Here is a 27,828-nt window from a genome sequence, read left to right as displayed (position 1 = left end):
GCAGAGATGAGCATTATACAGAAAAGAAAGGTCCTGGGCTCCTGAGGCTCTGTTCTAATGTTGAAGGTTAATAAGAGTAATCTCCATACTGAGTCTGGGCTCCTTTAAAATGATACACCAACGTTTGGGGATGACAAAGTATTCCAATCTAGAGTCCTTCACACACTCAAAGATCCTATGATTCCATAACTAAGCATTAAAAAGTACAGTACAAATATGGGGGGGAAGTACTACTTGAACAGAACATGATAAGCTGAAATCAGGAAGAGCCTCATGGACAAGATACATTATGTATGAGCTTTGATCTGAGAAGGGAGGTGCAGTTTATTGCCCCATGAAGCTACTGTGCTGCAAGTGTACAGGAATGATCTACTCACAAAAGGCAGATTTCTAAAATCACGAGACAATTTTTACCCCACAGGTGACCAGTGAGTGTCACTCATTTTTCTTCAGAAATGGCACATATTGACTTTACTTATAGTATGACGCTTAATTCCATCTAGTTAAAGTGGAATTTCAAAAATAACGGGTTCTCAACACTATGTGAATGATCCTCTGGGGGACCTCTCAAAATGTTTGGTTTCTCATGTCTTGTAAACCCAGAGGGTAAGCACTAAATCGCACCCTATAAAAAATAATATGCACAATTCATTTAAGTGAGGAAAAGGACCTTGGGGAAAGACTGGGGACTACACATTTTCCAGTGCTTAGGGTCCCCCACCCCCAACAGAAGTACAGCATGGGGAGAGGGACCTGCAGTGTGTCCTACCAGCCTATTATGGGAGCAGATAAATGAATACTGTGCTCCAGATTTCCCATGGCAATTACTTTTGTAACACATGTATAAATGTGCGTTTTAAACCAATCACTTCCTACCCATATGCTGTTTGAATAGTGAAGCATATATTCAACAAAGTGGACTGCGTACAGGAAACATTATTATCTCGGTTACAGGAAAAAAACACTACTATATTCCCAGATGTTCCCTATTAATTTTTAGCGAAGTATTTCCACACTTGTTGCAATGTAAATTAAAGATGCTTTAGATTTTCTAATCCTTTTGTACCTATAAGTTTTTAAAGCCCCTGAAACATTAGAGCTACCTCTGCCCCAACAAAAGAGCCTGTCTTTCACACAAGGAAAAGATTTTCCAAGCAGTTAACTTTAGTAGGAGACATTGCATATAAAATAAACTAATCTCTGAACTCCTAGTGTTTCTTCCCCCAGTGCCTTCATCTACTGTGATGACCATATTTCCTTTAAAGAAGACAGAAATAGAGAAGAAACGTTGCCACTTCCAAATGCTGTGGCCTGTTCTGCCCTCTAGCCAAGCATAACGGATCCTGGAAGACCTTGGGCGGCGGAGAGGAGATAGCGTGTCATGTAATTACCCTGGGTCTAAGGTGGTAGCTGGCCCTTCAGCGTGCAAACGCAGACGGCGGCATCAGAAATACATAACGGGCATTCGCCACCGCGGAGCTCCCCGAGAGGCGAGGGAGCGCTTTGGCGGGGGAGGTTGGAGGCCAGATGCCGCCGGCCTCGCGGAGCCTTTCGGCGTTGTCCATACTGATGAGCTCGGCTGACACAGGAAGGCAGAGCAAAGGAGGGGCAGAGGAGGCGCGGAGGCAGGCGGCAGAGCCGCGCACCCGGCTTTGACGTCGCCCGGCTGCGGCTAGCAGCTCGCGCTCTCAGCACGTAGCGCACAACGTGACCACACACAGCCTTCCTCCCCGGCAGCCCAGCAGCCCAGCAGCCCGGCCGCCGGTCCGCCTGCGCCCCGCGCTTGCCGCTTCGCCCTCCTCCTCCTCCTCCTCCTTCTCCTCTTTCTCCTCTTTCTCCTTCTCCTCCTCCCTCCATTCGCCTCCGCGGCGCGCATCTCCGCGCACACCCAGGGATCCCGGCCGGCGTCGAACCCCAGGCGCCCAGCCGCCCAACCAGGGCACCTCTGCCGCAGCAGCGGCCCGAGCGGACGCCACGCAGCCGGGTGCCCTCCGCAGGCGGCCGCTCCCGCGTTCACCTCTGGATGCCACCACTACGTTAGCTCAAGCGGGGAACCCCTTCTGCGGCTCCCTCCTCTAAACTCCCGCCTGTCCCGACCGTCCCCACCCCCTCCACCTGGCGGGGGCGGCGCGGAAGCGAAGAGGACGCGCGCAGTGCCGGTGGGCACGCGTAGACGTGTGTGCGGATCGGGTATTTGCCTGGCATTCTCCCTCTCTTGCAAGTGGCGGTGCCTGGACTCTGCTTTCGGCTCCGGGAATTGGTGCGGCCGGCCAGAGCACCTCTACGCTGGCCGGGCGCTAAAGGCTATTTTGGAGAGCGGTGGCGGTGGCGGCTGGGCTGGTGTGCCCAAGCGAGCTCCAGACGCACACTCCGCTCCCTGTTGGACCCTTTCCTCCTCCTTCTTCCCCCTCCTCCCTTCCCTCTTCCCCACCCCCGTTCCCCTAGCCCCACTCCTCCTCTTCCTCCTCCTCCTCTTCCTCCTCCTCCTCTTCCTCCTCTCCCCGTTCGGCGATGCGAGTCTGTATCGTGTAACAGGATTGGCGTTGCAATGGCAACTGATGGAATGGGGGAAGGCAAGACAGCAGGGCTGGGGGCTTCGGACTGCGGGCGGGCGGGCCGCTGTCGCCGCTTGACGCCCCTCCGGGGACCTTCGCGAGTTACTTTGTAAAGGCGAATCCAGGCAAGAGAGCCCTGCTCGGTGTCCTGGGTCAGAGGCCACTTCCTGCTCCTCGGCTGTCCAAGCCAGGCTCCTACCGCGCGGCACCCCCGGCCCCCTGCCCGCGCCCGCCGCCGGCCCAGCGCGCCGCCGCCGCCGCCGCAGCTGCGGAGACTCGAGCCCGCTTCCCTGAAGAACACTTCGCCTCGCAGCTCCCCTTCCCATCACCGCCCCCTGCTCCTCCCCGGCGTCTGCGATTTTCCCAGGCACCCGGTGTGAGTGCGGCGTGCGTGTGAGTGTGTGTCAGGGTATTGTGTTGTGGGAGAGTGTGTGAGTGTGTGTGAGTGTGTGTGTGCATGAGTGTGTGGAGTGCGGGGCTCCTGCGCTCCGCTCGCCGCCGCCGCCGGGGAAGGACAGACGGACGGCGCTTCCTCCTTCGGCGAGCGGTTCCCGGGCACCTCGGCTTGGCCCGGGCGCGAGTGGAGCGCGCCTGGCTGGCCGCCGGCCTCCTGAAGGTCCCGTTGCGTACCCCCTGGGCTGGATATGTTCATGTTCACGTGAAGATGGATTTACTGTACGGTCTCGTGTGGCTGCTGACAGTCCTCCTGGAGGGGATCTCTGGCCAAGGAGTGTACGGTGAGTGGAATCGCGACGCTATCGTGACCTTGTGATTCTTAGGCAAGATAGGCTGGTGAGCGAAAATGCACGACTCGCGCCGTTCCGGGGCCCCTCCCGGCGTGGCATTTGATTTACACTTCATCACGTTATTGGGAGCGATAAAGAGGCAGCGAGCGCGCTGCGGATTGGGCTGCGAGCCGCTTCCCCGGCGCCTGGGCTCTGGCTCGGAGTTGGGTTTAGCCGGCAGCAACGCACTCGTGCGAACGAGCGGCTTTGCACTTGATTTATCCCCGCGGGGAATCCGAGCTCCAGCAGTCTTTGATTTAATAATGGTTTGGCTCCTTGCATGCCACGGTGTCGGTGTCACGGTTTCCCCCCACCCCCCAGGGAAGCTTCCAGTGTGACCCCGTGAGTCTCCCCACCCCTCTCCGCCCCCGCCGCCTCCTCCTCTCCACCTTTTCCTTTTTCTGTGAATGCCTACATGCCTTGATTTTCCGGCTCAGGAAGTGGGGTGACAGTTGAGTTGCGTTCTGCACCAGCGGTTGCCATGAGCACTGACTTCGGGAGGGGAAAATAGCAGGCAAGATTCTCGGTGCCAGACACAATTAAGGGACATGTTTGTGTGAATGGATGAGCAAGTGCATGAATGAACGGACTGCTAAGTCCGCGCGTCTGGGTTCCAGGGCAGGACACTAGCTCGCTGCAGCGGGAACACAATCTCATCTCCCCTCTGGAAAACCCAGATTTAGGTTTAGGAACTAGAGAAGGGCAAGCTTGTTAATTAGGAGGTTTTGAAGTCCTCAAAAGCAAATACAGGTTTTTTTGCCTGTCAGCAGTTGGCACCCTTAGCTTTCAGGATGGAAGCACACACACACACACACACACACACACACACACACACATCCAGGTCATAGTTAATAGTGGACTAAAATGTATGTCTTCTCTTGGGACAAGCAGGTGGTGCCCAAAAAATAACTTCTGTGTTTTTGAGGTCTGGTGGGAGGTTAGAGGTGCACCCCTTGAGGGGACATCAAGCCAAGACCCGCCCACAGCCGGTCCCACCCCTCGCCCCTGAGTCAGTGTCCACAGAATGTGTGCTGAAAATCCAGCCCACTTGCCCTTGGTTTCACTCAGGGGTTTGGACTCCGGTGCTGCAGGACTAAGTCAATGGCTGACCCAGGGCAAAAAGGAATGAATATTTGTGGAAGTGTCAGAGCTTTCCCTGCAGACCCTGGAACTGACTGCAGAGTGGACACAGGTGCCAGTGAATCCTGAGTCCTCAAACTCTCTGGGAACGGAGTGCACAGTGGGTGGGTGTTTGGGGATGAATGCTACAGACCCAGCCTTTACTGTGTCCACTGTGTTCTGTCCAGGGCTGAACAGTGCTGAGGTGAGCTCTGGTACCCACTGCACTCCATCTGCTCCTCCCCTTTCCTGTGTTTCTAGCTCCCTTCTTGGCTCCCAAGAAACCTTCACTTTCTCCCGACTCTAAGGATCAGAATGTCCCCTCTCCCAACCCCTCCTTCCCAAGTGAAAGACAACTTGTCTCGTGGTGGTGATGGTTGTGGTAATGGGGGGACGTGTGTATGAGAGAGATGCTGAGTCTCCTGGCAGACCTCAAGGTTTGACTGACAACAGGAGGTGGGGCCTGAAAAGAGTAGGAATTAACTTAGTGCTCTTGTGACTATCCTGGACCCCGGTGCCCTCTGAACAGCTGAGAAAAACGGGGATTCTAGCGATGTAGGAATGCTGGAGATAAAGCTTTCTCAAAGGGCTGTTCCTTAGGATGGGAGAGTCTGAATTCTTCTCATCCCATGCCTAACTCTGTATTCCTCTCTCATTGATTCAGATCATCTTAGCTAAAAGGAATTTTTTGTTCTGGTTTGTTTTTTAAATTTGTATGTATGCATGTGTGAGTGTATGTGTGTGTGATGGGGTGATGAGAAGTGAGAAAGGTTGGGGACGTGGGGAGACAGTGGTACATTGCTGGAACTATCTGGATCAGAAGGACATGGTTCCATTTTCCTGTCACTTTTTGTTATTCAGATTATTTGCCCTGGCAAGTCTCAGATTGGGTAGTGGAAAAGGGTAAGATCTAGCAGAGAAGACAAATAGGAAACAATTGCATTAAAATAATCCTGTGTTTATGTCTGTTAACAATAAACAAGGAGGCAGTTCTGCTACTGAGCTGATGATTGTAATGAAAGTGGGGGTCTTTTTCATTTAGTTTTGTTTTTATATTGATGTGGTTATTAGTCATGTAGCCAGGAATAGAATTGTTTTTGTGTGAAAAATATTAATCAGTATTCCTGGCCATTATAAATGTCACAGCTATGAGGTGGGTTAAAAATTATGTATTACTTTTAAGATATGTTTTACCTGTCACAGAAGTTAGGTTCTCAAAGAAGATTAGGCCCCTAATCTTCAGCATTAGCATCACCCTGGAACTTGTTTGAAGTGCACATTTTTGGGCCCCTCTGAGACTTTCTAAATTAGAAACTCAGAGTGTAGGGCCCAGTGATTTGTGTTCATCACCTCGAGTGATGATTACAGTGGACACTGAAGTTGAGAAGCACTAACATAGGCTTACAGTTTCATTGCTTTGATTTTGTAAGTCATGAACTTTCTTAACCTAAAGTAGTTTTGTTTTTATTTGTGGAAGCATTTATAAGGAAGAGAACATTTTTTAAATTTATCAAAAAAAGGAATCAATTGTAAAGGACATAGACATAAGATTTAGTGTAAAGTTAAAAAGTGTGTTTTGAACATTTTATATGAATAACTTTGAGAATGATTAATTTAAAAGGCAGGGTTATTATAAACAGAAACTTCAACAGCCTAGACAGGAACTTTGCTAGCATAAAAATCTGTATTCCTTTATTTGCTTATATTTGCTACATGTAAAGCCATTCATACTACACACAAAGTAATATTTCTCAATAGTGTTTTCTAGTATCATGGTTCAAGAGGAAACACAAATGATTTTCTAGGTTACTCAGGCAAAATCACTTCATTGTAGCCTAAAATTGTTTACATGATTGAGAACTATGTCATTATAAACTTTCTTCCCTGGAATAGCTAGGGTATCCCTTTTCTCCTCTACTTCCTCACTGAAAAACTCTGAGCATGAAATTCAGATTCTGTTTTTTAGTGAATTGAGAATATTTGCTGTAACACATGGATTATATTGTCTCAAGTATTTTAATCTTCTTCCTGTTATGCCCAATCTGTTTGACAACCCTGTGCAATACTTAAGTGTAAAAGTTTCTGCTATAGACCTAGGAACTTACTGTCATTTATCTGGGAATAGTGCTTAGCAAACGAACTGCACAATAGCTAAGATTTATATATGGTGTCACAGTTGGATGAGGGAGATTATCTCTTAACTGCCTGCCTTCCACCAATAATTCTGTCCTATAAATTTTTTAAGTGGGATTTGTACTTTATATTTATTACATTTTCAATATCAGATGTAACATTATAGTAATATAAATTATTTGAAAATATTTCTGAAGGAAAAATTGCAAGAAAACCTCTTCATAATAGAATAGCACAAAAAAATCATATGGACTAACCAAGGCAATTTTAATGGATACTACCCATTTGACATATATATTTGGCAATATATATATGTGCATTTAAAAAATTTTACTTCCTTAAGCTATAGATTTTTGCTTATTGGATTTTAAAAAGTTATTTATATTAAAATAATTCTCCCAAATACTCTTGGAATGTTAAAGTTTTGTTTGAATTTTCCTTTTAGCTTAATTAAACATCACTGGATAACAAAAAGTCATTAAATGAACTGGTATCTATTTTTCACGTTATTAATTTTGTTGCACTCACATTTCATTAGATTTAGGATAACTAATCGATGTAGCTTCAAGAATTGGAATGTAAAACCTAGCTATCTGTATGCTTATTGAAGTACCTAGAGCTAAGTGATCCAATGCATTTTCTTAGTTTTGAAAGTTTTCTTTGTAAGTCATTGTATGGTAGTAAGTCATTTGGGTTAACTGTGTTTTCTAGAGATCCTATTGACAATGACATCATATCAATAATTGTATCTCCTGTAAACTTATCAGTTGGCTTGCTAAAAAAAGAAGAAGTACTCTATTGACATATTCTGTAATTTTACTTCTGGTCATCATGCCTTTAATTTCCAAGGAAGTTATTAAACATTATGAATGCATCAGCACAGACAAATCCCCACTGCAAACAAAAAACAAAATACAACTCAAGTCTGAATAGCTTTTTTGGGAACCAAATCAAACGGTGATTTGGTGTCCTGAAATGGTTAATTCACTGTCCAAAAATAGCTTTCAGAATGCATTAGAAGTAATAAATAGAGTAAGCTTAAGAAACACTTGAGTATGACAAATTAGCAAGCTATATTAACTCAATTCAGGTAATATCAGTAAATCTCATACAATTTAAGAATGACAGCCCAGGCAGTAGCTGGACAGAAATGGCCTTGGTGAAATTAAGAACAAGGGCATAAGTGACACAAGAAAGCTCTGGAAGATATTTCAGATGGTATTTTAGTGGGTTGAATCTGGATGGATAGGAAGGGATAAGAATGACATGGATGGTCAGTTGGCCATTACATTCAGTCTCAGGATGTTGCCATTCTCATAGCAAAGCTATCCGAAGGTATATTGATTATGATTTTTTTTTCAGATTGGGTTTGGAGAGGCCGTGTGATGAGATACTGCCTTTGACTAAACCATATTTAGGGTGTTAGTCTGTAGGAAAAGAGGAAGAGATTATTTTAATAAATGCTGTTAAAAAATCAATGTGAAGCTCTATTACATACCATCAGCTCCAACCTCTTTTTCCTCTTCTCACTCCATTGTCCCTACACACTCATGCACATTCTTATATTGTCACCACCATGGCCACGATCATGAAAGAAAAGTGGCTGGGCTGCTCATTGTATCTTGGGATCATTTTTGCCCATTCAAAAATTGTCCTTGTTGGTCATATTACTGAGATTTCACATGCAAAATGGGCAGATTATTTTATATAGTGTTACTTGCTCATGTCCTATATTTCCCTGGGAAAGCCCCTAAGTGGATTAATAAGTATTTTAGATTGAGCAAGTTGAGCCTAACTTATTTTACAATGAATAAGTCAGTGAGAGTGCCAGAGTTTAGACAATTAACAGTCAGAGATAAAAGTTTAGAGATGAAATAATTCCGGTGAATAGATGTCACAAAAGTAATTCCAGGAAGGCATTTTTCATGATCTTGATTTCTTTGCTTAATCTTATTATCTCTGGTTATGCTTCTTTATACTTATATTTTGCCAATATTTTTATTTTTGTTTTATAGTTGTGAAACACCTTAAACCCTGGTTGAGAAGCAGGGTACAAATAAACTTTTCTGCAAGGATGTGCTCTGTACTTCTTTAAAACTTATTATTTTAATGTAACTGCAGTAGGACTCATGGGGATGGGATTATAGCATAAGCCTTGTGAGTTCAATTGTATTTTATTAAAACATTGTCAGGAACCATGGTTTTGGGTTGTGTTCCAGGTATAGAGGCGATTCATCACTCATATTCTCTGATTTGATCCTCATGCTTTGAGAAGAGTCTTGCAAGGGTTGGGCTCAAGGTTTGTAATCTATAAAGGCAACAGCAAACAGCCAGATACACTGACCTACTCTGGGAACTGAGCTCGAGAGCTTATGCTCTTTGGTAGCTCAGATTAACTAAGGGAATGTGCTGTCATCTCAGTTAAATAAGATAAGGTCTTCCTTAGGCTCCCTTTTGGCTATTTTGGAAGGACATGCAAAGTATATTGCATATATTTAAAGTATGAAAAGAGTGAACATTTTTAGCTTCTTTGTAATTGACATTAACTTAATGGTCCCACAAAATAACTTTTGTTTCTTTGCTTCAGTGACTGAGTGTAAACACTATATTACTTAGAGCAAACAATAAAATATTGCATTCATAGAAAACTATATCCTATCTTTATTTTCAAATCCAATTAATAATCTTTTGGCCCTGTAAAATCATAAAGTGGGAGAAGAGACTTTAAGATATCATTAAATCATCTCACTAACTCAAGGCACAGTGATTTTACCATTATGTCAGGCAGATGGAGGTCCTGCATTGTTTGTGAAACTTATTTTCTCCAGGGTCCAGTTGTATTCATTAGATGAATTTGTTTTTTACAAATTACTAAAATCTCTTATTAAAATAATGGGGCATGTACTTAATTATTTCCGTTTTATACCGGTGCAATTCCATTTTCTTTTCTAACTATACCACCTTGCACTGATCCCATTTCAGCTTTTCTATATCAGTTTCTTGCTACTTTTCCAAGACACTATGCCATTTCTAATCTTACATTTTTAAAAACTGTTTCTTTTCCTGCTGATTTCATTGATTGAATTGAGTAAGATCTGTGCTTTCTGTTTCAACATCCAAATGATATATTCCCTAGGAGTTACAGAAGAGGATTTCAACTATTATAAACATATTTTTGGCTATTACACATTTGTTATTTAAATACATATTATGGTATGATGAAAGGCATTAGAAATTATGATGTAACTTACACTTTGTGTCTCTACAACTTTGCATAAACAGGAACCTCAGTTTCTTGCTGTTCCTGCTCAAATCTATATTAAGGACTGTGGTGTGGCTGAAATTTGGGGTCATGTGTATGACATGTTACAGTATCTTCAAGCAGTATATTTTTTGTCTTGTTTTGTTGTAATGTGAATGGTGGAAATAAAAATAATCAAGTGATCCTGTAGAAGGGGAAACACATCTTCCTGAAAGAGGAAGGGTTTGTTCACAGCTAGGCGTCTCTAAGTCTTAATGGACAGCACAAAAGACAGCTGAGATCTGAAGGAGGTGAGTAGGAAGTAAAGGCTATTGGAAAAATGTATCTACCCTTTAAATAATGGCAAAACAGCAAAAGCATATATTTTTATCTGAAGCCACTAGAACTTTGTTGTAGTGCATCAGGATGAAAAAGAAAAATGCCTGCTGTCTGCCTGAAGAAATACCATCTTAAGGGAGATTTTTCTGGTGTCCTGAAAGGAAAGGATGAGGAGATAAAGGGCTCTTAATAGAGCCTGTGGTCACTCTGAACCAGATTACTCTTCTCACTGATGGATTGTGGGATTTGGGAACACAAGGAAAGGTTGGGTACAGATTGATCATTGGAGCATTCCGTCTTTTACTCCTGAGTGTAACTGAGTTGGGTTTTTGCCTCACCTGTGCTGGACTGCTTACTAGGAAGGCAAGAAAATACTGGAGGAAGATGTGCCACTTTTCAGAAGTGGTGACCAGTTTGAATTCCCCACAGAAACTCTAGGCCTGTTTAGGTTCAGTTCTCATAAATTCAGTCAACTAATTAATGTATAACTGCTGTAGATGATGCATGTAGCTATGTAGTAATGTGTCCGGAATTGGTGGGTTCTTGGTTTCACTGACTTCAAGAATGAAGCCGCGGACCCTTGCGGTGATGTTACAGTTCTTAAAGGCAGTGTGTCCGGAGTTTGTTCCTTCTGATGTTTGGATGTGTTCGGAGTTTTTTCCTTCTAGTGGGTTTGTGGTCTCGCTGGCTCAGGAGTGAAGCTGCAGACCTTCGCAGTGAGTGTTAACAGCTCTTAAGGCGGTATGTCTGGAGTTGTTCGTTCCTCCCAGTGGCTTTGTGGTCTTGCTGGCTTCAGGAGTGAAGCTGTGTAGACCTTCGCAGTGAGTGTTATAGCTCATAAAGGCAATGTGTACCCAAAGAGTGAGCAACAGCAAGATTTATTGCAAAGAGTGAAAGAACAAAGCTTCCACAGTGTGGAAGGGGACCCAAGCGGGTTGCCACTGCTGGCTCAGGCAGCCTGCTTTTATTCCCTTATCTGGCCCCACCCACATCCTGCTGATTTGTCCATTTTACAGAGAGCCGATTGGTCTGTTTTACAGAGAGCTGATTGGTCCGTTTTGACAGGGTGCTTGATTGGTGCGTTTAAAATCCCTGAGCTAGACTCAAAAGTTCTCCACATTCCCACTAGATTAGCTAGATACAGAGTGTCGATTGGTGTATTTACAAACCCTGAGCTAGATACAGAGTGCTGATTGGTGCATTTACAAACCTTGAGCTAGATACAGAGTGCCGATTGGTGTATTCACAATCCCTTAGCTAGACATAAAGGTTCTCTAAGTCCCCAGCAGATCAGCTAGACACAGAGCGCAGATTGGTGCATTTACAAACCTTAAGCTAGACACAGAGTGCTGATTGGTGCATTTACAAACCTTGAGCTAGATACAGAGTGCCAATTGGTGTATTCACAATCCCTTAGCTAGACATAAAGATTCTCCAAGTCCCCACCAGATTAGCTAGATACAGAGTGCCGATTGGTGCATCCAGAAACCCTGAGCTAGACACAGGGTGCTGATTGGTGTGTTTACAAACCTTGAGCTAGATACAGAGTGCTGATTGGTGTATTTACAATCCCTTAGCTAGACATAAAGTTCTCCAAGTTCCCACTAGACTCAGGAGCCCAGCTGGCTTCACCCAGTGGATCTCGCACCAGGGCCACAGGTGGAGCTGCCTGCCAGTCCTGTGTGGTGCGCCCGCACTCCTCAGCCCTTGGGCAGTTGATGGGACTGGGCACCATGGAGCAGGGGGCCGCGCTCCTCAGGGAGGCTGAGGCAACGCAGGAGTCCATGGTGGGGTGGGGCGGGGTGGGGCGGGGGCGGGGGGGAGGGGGGGCGAGGGAGGGGGCGGGCTGCTAGTCCCGAGCCCTGCCCCGCAGGGAGGCAGCTAAGGCTGGACAAGAAATCAAGTGCAGTGCTGGTGGGCCAGCAGTGCTGGGGGACCTGGCACACCCTCCACAGCTGCTGGCCCAGGTGCTAAGCCCCCCATTGCTCAGGGCCGGCAGGGCCAGCAGGCCGCTCCGAGTGCAGGGCCGCCAAGCCCACGCCCACCCGGAACTCCAGCTGGCCCACAAGTGCCCAGCGCAGCCCTGGTTCCCACTCATGCTGCTCCCTCCACACCTCCCCACAAGCCGAGGGAGCCGGCTCCAGCCTCAGCCAGCCCGGAGAAGGGCTCCCACGGTGCAGCGGCGGACTGAAGGGCTCCTCAAGCGTGGCCAGAATGGGTACAGAGAGTAAGCGAGGGTTGTGAGGGCTGCCAGCACACTGTCACCTCTCAGTAAGTGCTGTAAAATCAAAGAGGTTATGCATGAATCCAGGAGATAGAAACAAATGGAAAAACAAATAAAATAAGGCTATGAGAAATACACAAATGTGTGTATCTAGAAGAAGAGAGAGGAATTACATTTCCTATTGTGGTTGGAGAAAACTTGAAAAAGCTCGGAACAGTTAAGACTTGAAAGTGGGTAGGCATAATATAGATAAAGAAGGAAGAAAGGGCATTGCTATTGTGTGGGTTCTAGGTGGAGGAACAGTGGTGCAGAAAGAAAAGTAGTCCTGGAATGGGTGTGTAATAAAGCCTCAGCAATTTCTTTAAAGTTTACCCCAACTAGAAAGATGTATCTGTCCTTTAACCTGTGTCATCATACAATTTTATTGTATGATACTCTGGAACTTGCTCAGATATATATGTCCATCAAGATTCTGAAGTGTGTGTGTGTTAAATGTGCGAAGCTAACTGACCATTTCTTCAGAAGGTAGGACAGTTATCTCTAAAGTTCCTGTGGGGGGCAACTCCTTTTGGAGGTAAACTCAAAGACTTTTTAAAGTCTAAATTTTTAGAGTGCTAAAAAGAAGTGCTGTTTAGCAGCAGCAACTATGGGTCCAGAATGACTAAAATCATTTCGTTCTTTACGAATGTACAGCCACTGGGATGAAGGCATTGCCCTTGTGAAAAGAGAGGTATGTGCTTTCATTATTGTTTTTTATTACAGTGCAAGACAGCATGATGTAGTTGAAAACTGTTGGGTAACGTGGGCTTTCTTCTTGTTCAGCTGCTGCTTTACTGTGTTACTTCAGGCAAAAATCTTGATCTCTATCCCTCAGTTTCCACATCGAGTAAACTCTTAGGAGAGTGGGCTGATGCATAGAAGAAATGTAGATATTAGCAAGAATAAGAAACTATGGCTGCATTTTTATATCTGGAGTAGAAGGGGGAGGGAGCATGGAGAGTTTCCCTTCTGTTCTTAAAAATCTACACTTAGATGCTCTAGCAGTTGAACCTCATAATAGGACTATCATTTAGTTTTTAGACCAGAATAAGAAGCTAGAAGGTAACAGAGACCAAGTAATTTTTTTTCTGGAAAAAATATTCTGGTTGTGTCAGTCTAGGGGAAAATAACAGAAACTGAGTATTTTTAAACACTTTAAGTATTATAAATATGTGCATGAAAATGCAATTTGATATTGTATTTCGATGCACGTGTAGTTTATATTGTTGCTTATGCTAGTCTCCCTTTCTCAATCCACATAACCCAGGAGTTTCTCCTTCTTCTCCTTAACAGTGGTGGTTAGCAAGGAGCTGGCATCCTCCCCCTCATTTGAGAGCTCCAGAGAACATTAGTGTATCCTAAACCTTATGGTTATGGGTAAATTTATGCTTATATAAATCTATAAGTGTGTTCAAATACGTGTATTGATCTTGTTGTTGAATCAAGGAGTAAGAGTATTCTTAATAGTCTTCAAGACTAATTAATAGTCTTCATTTCAAGACTAATTGGAAAACAGCAGTTTATAAAAATCAGCCACCCAATTGGAAAAAATAACCTAGGGATATATTTATTTATAAGAATACTTATAATTGGTAGTTAATACATAAAAACAGAAAATGAGGATAAACCATTAAATGGGGTCATCACACAATTACTGTGTCACATCTTCTAGTTTTGATCCAGAAGTAACCAGAATTGGTGTTTCCCACCCAGTCACCTAATCATTTAAAACATTTTTAAATTAGAATTAACTGAAAAGGACTGAGTGGGACTTTGCTCACCATTAAACTGTAACAGCCACATACCTAAGAAAGCATTTTATGCATAATGCAATCGTTTTCTTTGGCAAACACTTTCTATTTTTGGAGGGCGGAAGGTAGTCCACTTCCATATTCTCTATTCATATAATTAACTAGATGGCTGTAATTGCTTAATTCAATTATTATTCTCCATGTCTGAATATTAACTCAATATTAGTCAAGTATATTGGTCAAGTATCTCTTTAACCACATAGAAGGCAATCTTTACTCAGGACTGTGAAAGACAACAAAAATTGTTAGTTGAGAAGATTTTTCCCATTATGTGAAATGAGCAATATTGACTTTGCTAAACAAATCACCTTAAGCAAAGACACACAGTACTGTGTAATATGGAGAGATACAACTGCCAAGTAATTTCACAGTTGTCAGTCTAACTTGGTATCTCAGAATGAGTTAAGTTATTATCAAGAATTGGCATAGTTAATGCTTTTATTTCAGTTCTGAACTCGTTCCTTGTTTTTCATGGGTTACTCTACGCCATTATTGTGACTCTCTCTCATCCTTTGAGTAACTTATATTTTTCATTTGGTTCATGTTTCACACTGGTTTGTACCACCTGTACAACAGAGATGCTGTATGCATTTTAGAGTTTTAGGTCTTTGTCCCAATTAATCAAAGCTCAACCTTTGACTAATTTTGTTCTTCCTTTGTTGTGCATAGATTTATCTAAATATACTTGTCTAAGGAAGTGCAACCCTTTTCCATTATGACCATTCCCTACAATATTATAAACTCCATAATGACATCATTACTGTGAAAATCGGGGTTTAGAAACCTCCCAGTCTTTCCCCAAGACTAGAATAACTCCCAGTGGACTGCAGCCTGAAATAATCTGTCTTGTTACTCAGAGTCTGCTTACTCTCTGATTATTTCCTGTGCCTCACTATCAAACATCCCTCCAATTGCAGCAGCTGGTGTGGAAAGTGGCCTTCTTCTTGCTTCCTGTGATTTTGCAGTTGAACTCTATGGTCATTATATCTTTTTGATTCATATTTCAAACAGTGTTTCAGTTTTACTTTCTGTCGTCATTGATACTAATTTAATGCCTTAATCTCTAAGCTTACTTATGCAAAGAAGTACTTTGACACCCTTATGTTTAACCACCTTCCCTCTTCCAGAGAGAGCTAAAGAAGATACACACACACACATGCACATGTGCATATACATACACACATTCATAATACAAATATATGTTTGTATATAGAGTATTTGCATGTATACTATAAAAAATACATATTACATGTTCAAGCAGAAATCGATTAACTATGTTAAGAGTATATAAGAGTGCGTATGTGTATTCAAAAAATGCATGGAATAGTAGCTAAACTTTATTTAGGCTAATCCCAAGAAACTGGGTGCTTTTCCCACTTCCCTTGCAAAGCTGACTCTAATTCAGTGTTGGCAACAGAGTATGCAGTCTCTCACCTAATACTCAGTTTGTGTTTGAATATTTGTGATACATTCATGTTTCTATTGTTCATGGGTTTACAAAATTACCTTTAGAAACTCCAACTACTGGCTGGGTGCGGTGGCTCACTCCTGTAATCCCAGCACTTTGAGAGGCCGAGGCAGGCGGATCACCTGAAGTCAGGAGCTCGAGACCAGCCTGCCCAACATGTGGAAACCCTGTCTCTACTAAAAATACAAAAAATTAGCCGGGCGTAGTGGCGGGTGCCTGTAATCCCAGCTACTTGGGAGGCTGAGGCGGGAGAATCCCTTGAACCTGAGAGGCAGAGGTTGCACCACTGCACTCCATCCTGGGCAACAAGAGCGAAACTCTGTCTCAAAAAAAAAAAAAAAAAAAAAAGAAACTCTGATTACTTCGTTTTTTGCAGTTGACAAAAGAGAAATATTTCTTAGCTGCCTAACAGCAATGCATGTGCAGTTTATTCCACCTGCATTACAGTAATGTGTATATTTGAAGCTTAGCATCACTTGCATATTCAGAAGACCATCCCTGCCGTTCTATTAATCAGGTCTTTTAAGTTGTATTTTATTCTTTATAAGTGAGCTTTCAGTGCACCAGGCATATCTATATTCATGTCTGGATTCTAAAATACATGCACAAACAAAACTTAAGTAACTTGGATTATCTTTCATCTTTTTTCACCTATAATTGAAAAATAATTAAAGATGAGATATAGTAATTTTTCATAAAATAATTGCCATTTATCAAGTGCCTACTGTATGCCACACCTTGTATTAGAAGTTTTATACACATTGTACCATGCACTAATCTTTGTATGAGATAGATGCAAAATCTGAAGCTCATGAAGTTTAAATAACCGCCATATAGTTACTGGTGGCTGAATTTGGAATCAAATATGAAATGTATGTAAAAGTAAATACTTGTATTTATACTTATTTATATTATTAAAATTATATTCAGATATGTGTGTGCTTATACTTATTCTAATTAAATCATAAAAGTTAGGTAGCTTACATTGTGCTATGCATGAAAATTATCTTAAACAGTATATACTTGAAATGCAACTTGGGTAATAATACATTTTAGCTTGTCACATGCGAAGTATATGTAGGTAGCTAATGTCAGCACTTTATACCATATGGTTTTCTTTCTTAGAAAAGAAAGATATGTTTTATAATTCTTTTTTCTTTTCAGTATTGAAATGCCCATACTGAGGACTCTCTCTCATATAATTTATTTTTGGAATGATAGGATATTTTAAGCTTATTCATAATTAGTAACCTGTAAAAATGAAGAAATGGTTCTACTACATATTCTGCAGAAGTAGTTATATTCCTCCATGTAAAATAGTAGGTATGTGCTTATAAAAAATAACCACTGTCAGGTGTACTACTTTATTTCTCCCTAGGCTGATTAACAATCGCTGGTCTTGGAAAGATTGATAGTTAAATGTCATATTTGGCCTGATTTTTGTTGAGTTCCCTCCGAGTATTGCTTGGGCATTTTTCGCGCAGAGTTAATTGAGGAGACTCTATCAGCGGATTTCTTTTCTTGACAATCTTGTTGTGTTCAAGAGGACAGTTGATTGCGAGCTCTGCCCTTCTCTTAGCTGACAGTGAGTTCCTCAGACCTCAAAGCTTACAGATTAGTGCAGTTTAGTGATTTGTTTTAGGCTTTTAGCTACAGTATTTACCACTATAAAAGTCATTTTTCCTATGCTTTTTGAATGCTGTTATTGTGTCCTATAGTATAACCCTGTATCATTGTGACTATTGTGTGATTGATACAGAAACTGCTTCAATAGGAAACCATTTCAAGAGAGAACAGGAAAGGTATTATATTCAGCTGTAGCGCCATGCATTTCTAAGCAGCTGATGTTTTCTTTAACTGATAAACATCCCCCCTCAAATTTTCAGAGGCAATTGAGTCTTTAGAACTTTAACTCTTAATTCAGTCTGGCTGCAAGAGCACTGCCCTGAAATTCATTATACATTCACATTTTACAATTGGCAATTCATTAATTCTGTAGTATAACTGTTGTTATTGTATTTCAAAGCCAGATCTCTTCTTTAAAAAAAAAAAGCATGGAGAAGCACTGATTTTGTGAATTCCTTCTTTAAGCAATGGCTTCCTAATATCTGACCAAATGCTTGAAACTAATGGGATATGACTTTTTGCACACTGGAAATAGCGCTAATGTTAAATGGTGGAGCCATCATGCATTTTGTAACTAAAAATTTCAAATTAAACTGGAAGCCTTTGTAAAGGATAGAGTAAAAGATGAGTCAAATCCAAGTTCATAAGAGTTTAATAGATTTCGTGATTTTACAATTTACACATTTAGTTCTATATTTGGGAGTACTTATAGAATATAGTACACCTTTTTAAAGTCTTTCTCTGCTTCCAATTTTTGCATTTTGTGATATATTAGATGCATGCTCTATTTTGAGTGAGAGTGGATAGTGACTTCATAATTGAGGTATACACTTATACACCTAAGATTTAAGTACATCTCTATGTTGTGGTTTATCATTTAATTTTACCAACAATAATTAAATAATATCCATGAAAGCTGGAATACAGTTTCTTAAGTAAAATAAAAGGTAAAATATCTTATGAACCTAAAAATGCCATTTAAATGTCTTTGGCTGTGACGAAAGCTAATTTAGACTTTCTTAAGATATTTCTAAGTTTGTTCTAAGAATATTTTTAGCGGCTTAACTATTGACTGCTTCTCATTCATTTTACATAGCTGTCACCCTCCCAACAATTATTATGACATTTCAGAGGTTTTCACAGTAGTAATGAAAGACTCAGCATTTCTACAGATGGAAAGTTATTTATAAAGCAAATAATGAAAATAGTAAAGCAGAATTTCAACCTACTATTGTGCTCTGCTCTGGGGATTAGACTTGAAGTTGCATGGGTAGGAGCAGATGTGTTAGTTTGGTCATAATCTTAGCCTAGAGAAATAGGAATAAATTTATTGACATAGCAGGGTGATAGGATTTCATGTCATGAGGATTAATAGAATAGATCAAAGCAGAATGCAGTGTGTTCATGTCATAGGTTGACTTCTCCAGGAAACCGACCCCAAGTGGAAGGTTTACATGCAGGTGGTTTATTAGAGAGTGATGTTGGGAAGAACACCTGTAAGGGAAGAAGGGAGCCTGGGAAGAGCAGAGGGAGAAGGTGAACTCTGATTCACTTGCAACAGAGTCCTAGGCTGAGTGCATGGGATGCTGTAGAGTTGGGATGGACCTTCAGAGATATTCCAAATAGAGAAAGAATTCTGTTTACTCTCTTTTCTACCAGTCCTTGGACGTGGGTTGCCCCTGGGGCAGAGCCAATATATTTGGGTTAGGCAGCTCCCTTTACTGGAAGGCAAATTCTGGGAGGAACTCAGTTGTGAGCAATCATCAGGTAACACTCTTGGAAGTTGGGAGAGTGGATGTCTTCTTCATGCAGAAGGAGTTCTGAATGTTACACCCCATCTTAGACAGCTTTTGTTGCTCATATCTGCTTGCTTATCCTGTTTGAGAACTGGCCCTCCAGGAGCTGGCCTTTTATCTTAAGGAAACTCACAAAAGAGGATGGTTAGCAGGACAAACGTCAGCCAGCCCTTATGTCTGGTCTCAGAACCGTGTCTGATACTCATCATTCCTCTTTTCTACTACTTCTTCTAGAACCCATTACCCTTAGCTAGCAATTCTAAAGGATTAGATTGTGAACTTGGCAAAGTGAGCTGAAGGGCCTAAGATCTTGGTCACCAAGATCTTCTCAGGTCACAGCTGATGGATTTATCGGTTTCCTACCAGAACTAGGTAAGAGAGCATCAACACATACTTAAAGTGGGTCACTGGGGTGCCAGAGTTCTTCTCCCCTGCTCATGTTACATAACAGCAGCCTTGCCACCTCCAGACAATCAGGATTTATTATCCCTGCCTGAAAAGTGACTTTGTTCTTTGCCTGCTTGTCTTTTGCATAAGGAGCCCAAATAAACAGGTGACAACTGTCACAGGAGTTTGAGACTTTTGCTATTGTCCCTAAGAAAAGTGTCCCCCTCTGGGAACCAACACATCTTAGCCACACAGGCCCTGTAATTCTGGGGACAGGAAGCACAGGTACCCTACATATGTCATGAGAGTGAAGATAACTGAGGATACTACACTGTCTCCTCTTGGTTCTTGGACTTATGTATTCTACCTACTGGGGACACAGCTACATATAATAGTCATTAATTTAGGACTGTGTCATATCCTGCAAGTGTGGGGTCCAACTTTAAGAGTATCATCTCCAAGCTGCTGAATTAATGCTGCTCCTTCAAAAGTTTTCTATTAGATGATGTGATAGAACCAGTAAATTCCATTATCATTGCAGCACCTTCTTTTCTGTTCAGTGGATCCCTTTGGTTAGTACAATGTTAGGAGAGATCCTGTTTTAGGTATATCACATATTCTGAAATCTCTTACATTGATGTGTTTTATGGGGCACTGTAGGCACAAGGTAACTGTCAGTTCCAATCAAGATGAATTTCTAATCTTTCATTTGTAAATGGAGTCCATTGTACTCAATTTCTACCAAATGCCTAGTTAGTTTCCTTGAGGAATGGGGTACATCAGGGTCCCTCCTGCTGGCAGGTTGGACATTTAGCAGCAGCATTAGCTAGTTCAATGCTGATGAATGGGAGCTTTTGCTATTCAGTATATGGATAATGTCTATAATTTTCACTACGGCTTCTTCCCTTTTGTGTCTATTGATGCAACACTGGAGTAGCTGATGGCAAGCTGACTAATATCAATAAATCAAGTTATTCTGTATTCTGATTCCAATTGCTATTGCTCTGTAACAACCCACCCCAGCTTTGTGGTATAAAACACTCCCTTTATTATATTCGTGGATTCTGTGGGCCAATAATTTATATGAGGGATATTCAGAATGGCTTATCTTTGCCCCGTAATTTCTGAGCCCTTACCTGGGAAGACTTGGAGGTGGAGGATGACTTGACATCTGGAGGCTGGAATCATCTGCTGGCATCTTCACTGACATATGTGATACTTGAGACTCTGGCAGATAGCTGGGACTTTGGCTGAATTGAAAACTTTGGGCTTTCTTACAGCACGGTGTGAGGATTCTAAGAGTAAGTATCCTGAAAAGGTACAAAGGATCGCTTTGAATTTTGCCTTGGAAGTTACATGCATCGATTCCGTGACGCTCTATAGTTTGAGGCAGAGACAAAGGTCCACCCAGGTTGAAAGAAAGGGATTATAAATCCCACCTCTTTACACCTCTTTATGGGAATAATGTTAAGTTTACATTTGATGGAGGACTTGTAGAATTGGAGAAATTGTTGTGGCCTTTTTAAAAGAATACAATCTGCCACATGCCTCTTTTGTGGTGGATGCTCTCTGGGGGACAATAACATTGTCTACAAAGATCTCTCTACTTTGTGCCCACTCCCATAGGAGGTACATTTGCATGCCTGTTTTTCTGAGTTATTGTTGCTGATTTTCTGTCACTTCTCTTTGCAGGCGTCCAGCCAACAATCAGCTAAGTTATTCACTGCTGCCAATAAGACTATGTTTATTTTTACCGCAGCCACTTCTCTTTCCATACAACTTATATGGTCCCTGAAGCTGTACCCCATTGGGAATATTTTCTCTCATTGCACTCTTTGAAGGCACCCATTAGTGGGGCTGCAGGGCAGGTGCAGTACCTTTTTGGTTTATACCACATGTGGAGCTAACTGATCTGTGAACCTGTCTTGAACTTGGTGGTTAGACAGGACTGCCCATGCAGTCATAGGGATGAGCTGAGGGAAATGAGGCAGTGCAATAGGAAAGATGTAGGGGTTTGCCATTTCTGCATATAGCTTACTTGGGCTTTCTCTGTCTACTTGTGCTCAGTCCCAAATGTATCATTTTTATTTAATAATGGATTGCTACAGGACCTACTTGATCTTATGACTTGGCTGACAAAACCTAGTTATAATGGACATTTTTGGCACCATGGTCTCTTAATTGCCTATTTTCAGGCATTCTGCCTAAGTAAGTTCCCAGTAGTATGCCATAAACTGTTTGTCAAGTGATTTGTAATTCTATATTGCAAATGGCACAGGCTTGCTGAAAAACCTTCAGTGGCTAACATTGTGATTTTTCTACAGGGACTTGCCGTAGACTTTACGTGTGGCTTGTCACACTAAAGATACTTCTAATATCATGGGATGTGTGGGATTATATGGTCTAAGCTTGAGGAATTAATTCTTCAGTTGAACCTATACCTCCTCCAAGGTCTTTAACTGCCCTAAGCCACAGTCCAAGCCAGCATCCTTCTGTGGCACTGGTAAATAGGTCAGAACAGTATTCCCAGCATGGACTGTGTTCTCTCTTAGATCTAAAGTGTTCTGTTATGGATTGTGCTACCTTCTTATTGATGGGGAAAGTGAGCTAATTTGTTCTTTTTTTGGAAGATTGCTTTTTATTTTGGAATGTGCATCAATTTGTCTTTCTCTTTGGAAAGATTGTCTTTCCATGACTCAGGCCATAGACTCCTACAACTCACTGAGGAGGTGTCTATTTTCCATCCTCTGAGCACATGTCTTACCCAGACTTCCGAAGTACTTGCCACTTTTTGCTTATTCGGTTCTCTTACAGGATGTCATTGATATTATGTAATGGACCAGTGTAATGTTCTTTCTAATATCCAATACATTCAGATTCTTTCAGACTGTATTATGGCAGAGGACAGAAAAGTTATTATAATCCTGGGTCAGGATGGAAGATGCGTACTGCTGTTATGTCCATGTGAATGAGAACTGCTTCTGGTTCACCTTCTTGGTAGAGATGGATAACAGTGTTTTTGCTAGATCAATTGCCAGGTACCATGAACTAAAGTTGGATTAATCTGCTGTAGCAAAGATACTGCAACTGGCCAAGCACTTGCAACTGGGGCTTCTACTTGGTTGAATTTGTGTAGTTCAATTCCAACTTCCAGCATCTATCTGCTTGTTTATCAACAAGAGTGGTGAATAAAATGGAGGGCACAATGAGGACTATAAAATGTGCCTCCTTTAGATCTTTAAAAGTGGTACTGATATCTTACATTTTGTCTAGAATGCCATACTGTCTTTATCCTAGCAACATTATCATCAGGGTGTTATTAAATCCTGTATCCTGGGAGGGTCCTCCCACATCAAAAATGCCTCTCTTATCCAACATTATATTCCTTCCCATCTTAATCTAGCGTCCTTAGAATCAATTCATATACACACTCTTCTAACTTCTGCCAGTACTTATTGGCTAAATCTGCCTCTTTCAGAGCACAGTCTTTTTTCTTCTTCTTTTCTCCCTTGGTAATCTAAGCACCTTCATTGCTGGGTTAATTTGTAACTTAACCCTGGTGATGAGTTTGGCTGCCAGTAGGAGAGTTGGGGATATATTCTAAGGGGAAATATACTGTCTTCATAGGTGGAGATCTCTTCATAACTGGAACTCTCAGTTATTCAACTTTATGTTCCATTCTCTGGTGACCCAGCATCTTCAGAATTGGTTCCAAAGTTATTCTACTGATTCTACTGGAACATATTGGCTGGGTCCTGTGGCTCTTTTGAGCTATTGTCCCTGTCCTCCTTTTGAAGGGTTAGCACTTCAGCCAGTTGTGACTTACCGTTAGTTATTAGCCAGTTGGCCAGCAGAGGAGGTGGTGGAAAATCCTGGGTGGGACTTACATTCTTTTTCAGGGAAGAGTCATCTTCATTGTCTTCAAGCAGGAAACACTAGTCTCTTAACAGGGAGACTTCTGTAGGCACCTAGTGTCCATAGGAACCTGATGATCGAGATTATTGACTGCATCAAACTAGATTTTGTTATCTCTAGGGCTCTTTATTTTCCTAATTTGCACCCTTACTTTCATGTAGCTGACTTTTCAGGTGAATTCAACCATATCTAGAGCTTTGCTCTTATAATTAAGTTCTGTACCTGAACCTAAGGAATTTTTACACAATTTGTAGAGGTGAATTTCTTTTTATTTACTCCATGGGAAGATCTTTGGCCTTAAATTGATGGTTGTGTTAGTTTTCTTTTGTTTTTGTAACAAATTACCACAAACTTAGTGGTTTTAAGCAATATTAGTTCTCTATGTAGGTCAGAAGCCTGACATGGGTCTCACTGAGCTAAAATCAAGGGGTCAGCAAAGCTGCACTTCTTTTTGAAAGCTCTAAGGGAGAATCCATTTCCTTGCTCTTCCCAACTTCTACAGCCTCCTTTTATGTCTTGGCTTGTGGCCTGTTTGTTCCATCTCCAAAGCTAACAACATCACATCTCTCTGTGCCTTTCTTCCATAGTCCTGTCTCCCTCTGACTCTCCTCTTTTTCCGCTGTCTTGCACTTTCTGAGACCCTTGAGTACATTGGACCCACCCTGATAATTCAGGATGTCCTCTCTATTTTAAGGTCAGCTGATTAGCAACTTTAATTACATCTACAATCTTAATTCCACGTTGTCATGCAGTCTAACATATTCACAGTTTCCGGGAATTAGGATGTGAACTTCTTTTGGCGAGGTTTGGTTTGTTACTGGTTTATTACTGCTTACCACAGTAATACATCAGTGTCATCTTTCCATTTTCCATTGGCTTTCTCAAATGCGTGGGTAGCCTCCAGAGATAACCATCTAATTTTGTAGTCCTTGTAATTATTACTTCCCCCAACTCTTTAAGCACCAGCGACATTTCACTTACCTTCCTCTGATATATTATCCCAGTTCACCTAGAGAAGACAGAATTACATAAAGCTCAAGAGCAATCTCAGCCATAGATCTCAGCAAATCTCAGCAAAGAACTATTGCTTCCACAGTATTTCCTGGATGAATGAAATCTATTCTCCTGGAAAAATCATTGCTATTGTCTTGTTCGTATTTCCTGAGTTTTTTGTGTTCCATAGAAAATTGATTTTTCTATTTTAAAAGACCTTAACTGTGGCAATTTCACATGTTCTTATGGTGAGGATTATTTCTTGTCCATCTAAGATTCTTATGGGATATTGAGGTTCTACTGGGATAGCACTCATATCCACCAGTGGCTCCATGAGTTGGTTTTTGGAAGTTAGCAGGATAAAAATGGAGAGAAGATAGTTTGTCAGACAGTGCTTCAGCCTGAATCTGTCTCAGACTTTCAATTACTTCCCCATGGTGTAGTAAGAATCTGGGCCACACAGGTCAGTTCCTCAGGGATTTTGAAATCCTGATTTCTGACTCTGAGTTATAGTTCTTATTCATTTTTACTTTTTTGAAAAAATTAAAAGTGATATGTTTTCTTTCCACTATTAATTATCAGTTGCTGGATAAATATTTGTGTGTGCCTGGGGGGAGGGGAGCAGCACTGAAATGATCTTTGCAATTTTAAAAATTACTAAAGAGTTATAAGGTACTAATTTTTTATGCAATATCCACTTGCCTGGTTTGCTGATGTTTTACAGTACTTGTTTTAACTCAGCAAATAATTATATAATCCTGAAACTTTAATGAAATTTTAATATCATCTTTATAAGCTTGTTACTTGTGAATCAAAGTTTAATTCTATTTCAACACATATAACAATTATAACTTGAACAAATCAGTATTTTCAGATAAAGGAAACTGACTTTGTAGTTTTGCCATCATTGGAGTTAGTCTCATTTATATAACATTTAAGAACATTCATGTGTTTCTGATACTTTTATTGCTGTTATGTATGTATAGTAAAAGTTCCGATTTCTCTGTGAATAATTTATAATGTCTATATAAAACTTTGTTCTCAGGAATAATAGATGAGAGGAATATGGACTGTATATAAATTTTGTGTAAATAACCTTCTTTATTCCAAAATAACTTCAGATGTTCTGATAGTACTTTATAGCAAAAGAAAGCAATAATACTTTCTAGCAGATAATTATATTTGATAACTAATGCTTCTGTATATCTTTTGCTAGTTCTTCCTGTTCTCCTCAATCACGAGTAATCAAGATCCTTATATTTCTGTCCTTGTCCCTCTTTCTTTTCTCACCATGCACCCTCTTGCCTTGGGCAGTTTAAATACTGTCCCTGTCTGCCAACTTTTAAACTTACACTTCATATCAGGTCTTTGTTCTGAGCTCCAGATCCGTATGTGTAACTGTCTCTTTCACATTTTTACTTAGAGTGCTCAAAGGCATCAACATTAATTTGTCAAAAGCTGGACTCTTGGTCTACCCAACTCTTTCTCCTCATCCTACCTCTTCTCATTAAGTCACCCAGGTCCACATATCATTCACCTGAAAGTCATGCTTGACCTTGACCTTTCGTTTTTATCCCTGAAAGCAGATCGTCACCTTTATTTGGGGAGCAGTTCTGCAAAATAGATCTCAGATGTACCACTGCCACCACCGTTATCCCTTCCATGTTTCTATTTTGTCTCATCGAATGTAGTATTCTCTTCATTATTCTCCCATTTGCCCTGTGAGTACCCCTTCCTCATGCTTCATATAACTCCCTACATACATCCATACATCAAGCCTGTGTGATGGCTAAAAAAAAACAGCAGATTACATCACTCTTCTGATTTGAAAGCCATTCAGTGGTTTCTCATTCCTCTGAAGATAAATTTGAACCTCTACTATCATTCTCACACACTCCAGATATGGCCCTGCCCACTCTGCTGCCTCATCTTGAATTGCTTCTCCCTTTAAGCACTGTGGTGGAGATACAGTGATTTTTATTTCATCCCACGGAAGCGCTAAGTTCTTTCGTGCCTCAGAGTCTTTGTGTGTGCTTATCCATTGCTCCGAAAATGTCTGCCCTGTATTGGAGCTCTTCAGAGAAACAGAACCAATAGGATATGTGTGTATAGGTATTTATGGGTATACACACACACACACACACACACACACACACACACACACCACATGCACACACACACAGAATCTCCCTTAAGGTCATCTACAGGTTCTTGAAAACTGTGACTTTAAGCAAAATGACATATAATGAAACAGACTTTACCATAGGCTAGTTAACATAAATGACAGTTAAGTTCCTGTGGTATATTTTTGATCACAAAATCATCACTGAATTTCTAAATAAAGACCCAAAAAGCTTCTAATATTAAACATTGAAATAAATGTTAGTTACACATACTTTTAAGAAATAATAACACCAAGTAAGATAATTATTTACCCAATTTTTGGTGAATCATTGAGTGACAGCAGTCATAGTGGCAGTGGGTCAAATCAAGGAATAAAAGTTTGCAAAAAGAAAACTGTCACTACCTACCATCATGCAATTCAAAAGAAACAATAACAAATATGATGGGCTTGCTGAGTGTGTTCATTCCACATTGTTTTTTTGTGCATTTGTATGATTATCATCTGCTTCACATATTTTTATTTTACAATAATTTGTGTTAATTCATTCATTTATGCATTTTTCCAACCTGCTTATTCCAGTTCAAGGTTGCAGGTGGCCAGACTCTATCTCAGCAGCCCAGGGTGCAAGTTGGGAAGCAACCCTGGACAGGTTGCCTTTCCATCACAGGGTGCATTCACACATACCCATACTTACTCATACTGGGACAATTTAGACATGCCAGTTTGCCTAATGTGTATATCTTTGGGATTTGGGAGGAAAGCTGAGTACCCAGAAAAAACCCATACAGATATGGAGAACCTGCACACTCCACACAGGCAGTGGCTTCTGCTGGGAATTGATTTCTTTTTCTCATCAAAATTATAATGAAAGATGTTGAAAGAAACAATGTTATTCAAGGACCTGCTGCATATGTAAAATAAGGAATTGGCTCACATGATTATGGGGGCTGATAAGTCCCAAGATCTGCAGCTGGCAAAGTGGAGACCCAGGAGAGCTGAGGACGTAGTTCCAGCCTAAAGGCTGGCATGCTTCAGGCCCAAAAAGAGATGTTTAAGCATGACTCCCAGAGCATGAAAAAACATGATGTCTCAGTTTGAAGGCAGTCAGGCAGGAGGAATTCCCCTTTATTTGGGCAAGGGTCTGCCTTTTGTTCTTTTCAGGCCTTCGATTGATTGGATGAGGCCCACCCACATTAGAGAGACCATGTGCTTTAATCAGTCTGTTGATTTAAATGTTAAAATCATCTAAAAGCATCCTCATAGAAGCACTTA

General features: G+C 41.4%; 1 protein-coding gene across 4 annotated transcripts in view, besides 1 other annotated feature; it reads left to right on the top strand.

Annotated features, from left to right (window-relative positions):
- Nucleotides 968–1,467: an enhancer, noted in NCBI's record as "H3K4me1 hESC enhancer chr14:48145545-48146044 (GRCh37/hg19 assembly coordinates)". NCBI's record gives its function as "activates a minimal SCP1, AML or CMV promoter by ChIP-STARR-seq in primed H9 embryonic stem cells {active_cell/tissue: H9 hESC(primed)}" and the evidence as "EXISTENCE:reporter gene assay evidence [ECO:0000049][PMID:30033119]".
- The window catches only part of MDGA2 (MAM domain containing glycosylphosphatidylinositol anchor 2), an 835,983-nt gene continuing 810,358 nt past the window's right edge, over nucleotides 2,204–27,828 (top strand). For all 4 annotated transcript variants that reach the window (NM_001113498.3, XM_011536522.4, XM_047431051.1 and 1 more), the window contains exon 1: nucleotides 2,204–3,292. In NM_001113498.3, coding sequence (NP_001106970.4) covers nucleotides 3,013–3,292 — 280 coding nt within the window. In that variant the 5' untranslated portion in view covers nucleotides 2,204–3,012. The remainder of the gene's footprint in view (nucleotides 3,293–27,828) is intronic.

The sequence above is a fragment of the Homo sapiens genome, chromosome 14, assembly GCF_000001405.40.
Source record: "Homo sapiens chromosome 14, GRCh38.p14 Primary Assembly".
In the NCBI taxonomy this organism is placed as follows: Eukaryota; Metazoa; Chordata; class Mammalia; order Primates; family Hominidae; genus Homo; species Homo sapiens.
This window is presented reverse-complemented; position numbering and strand designations above follow the sequence as displayed.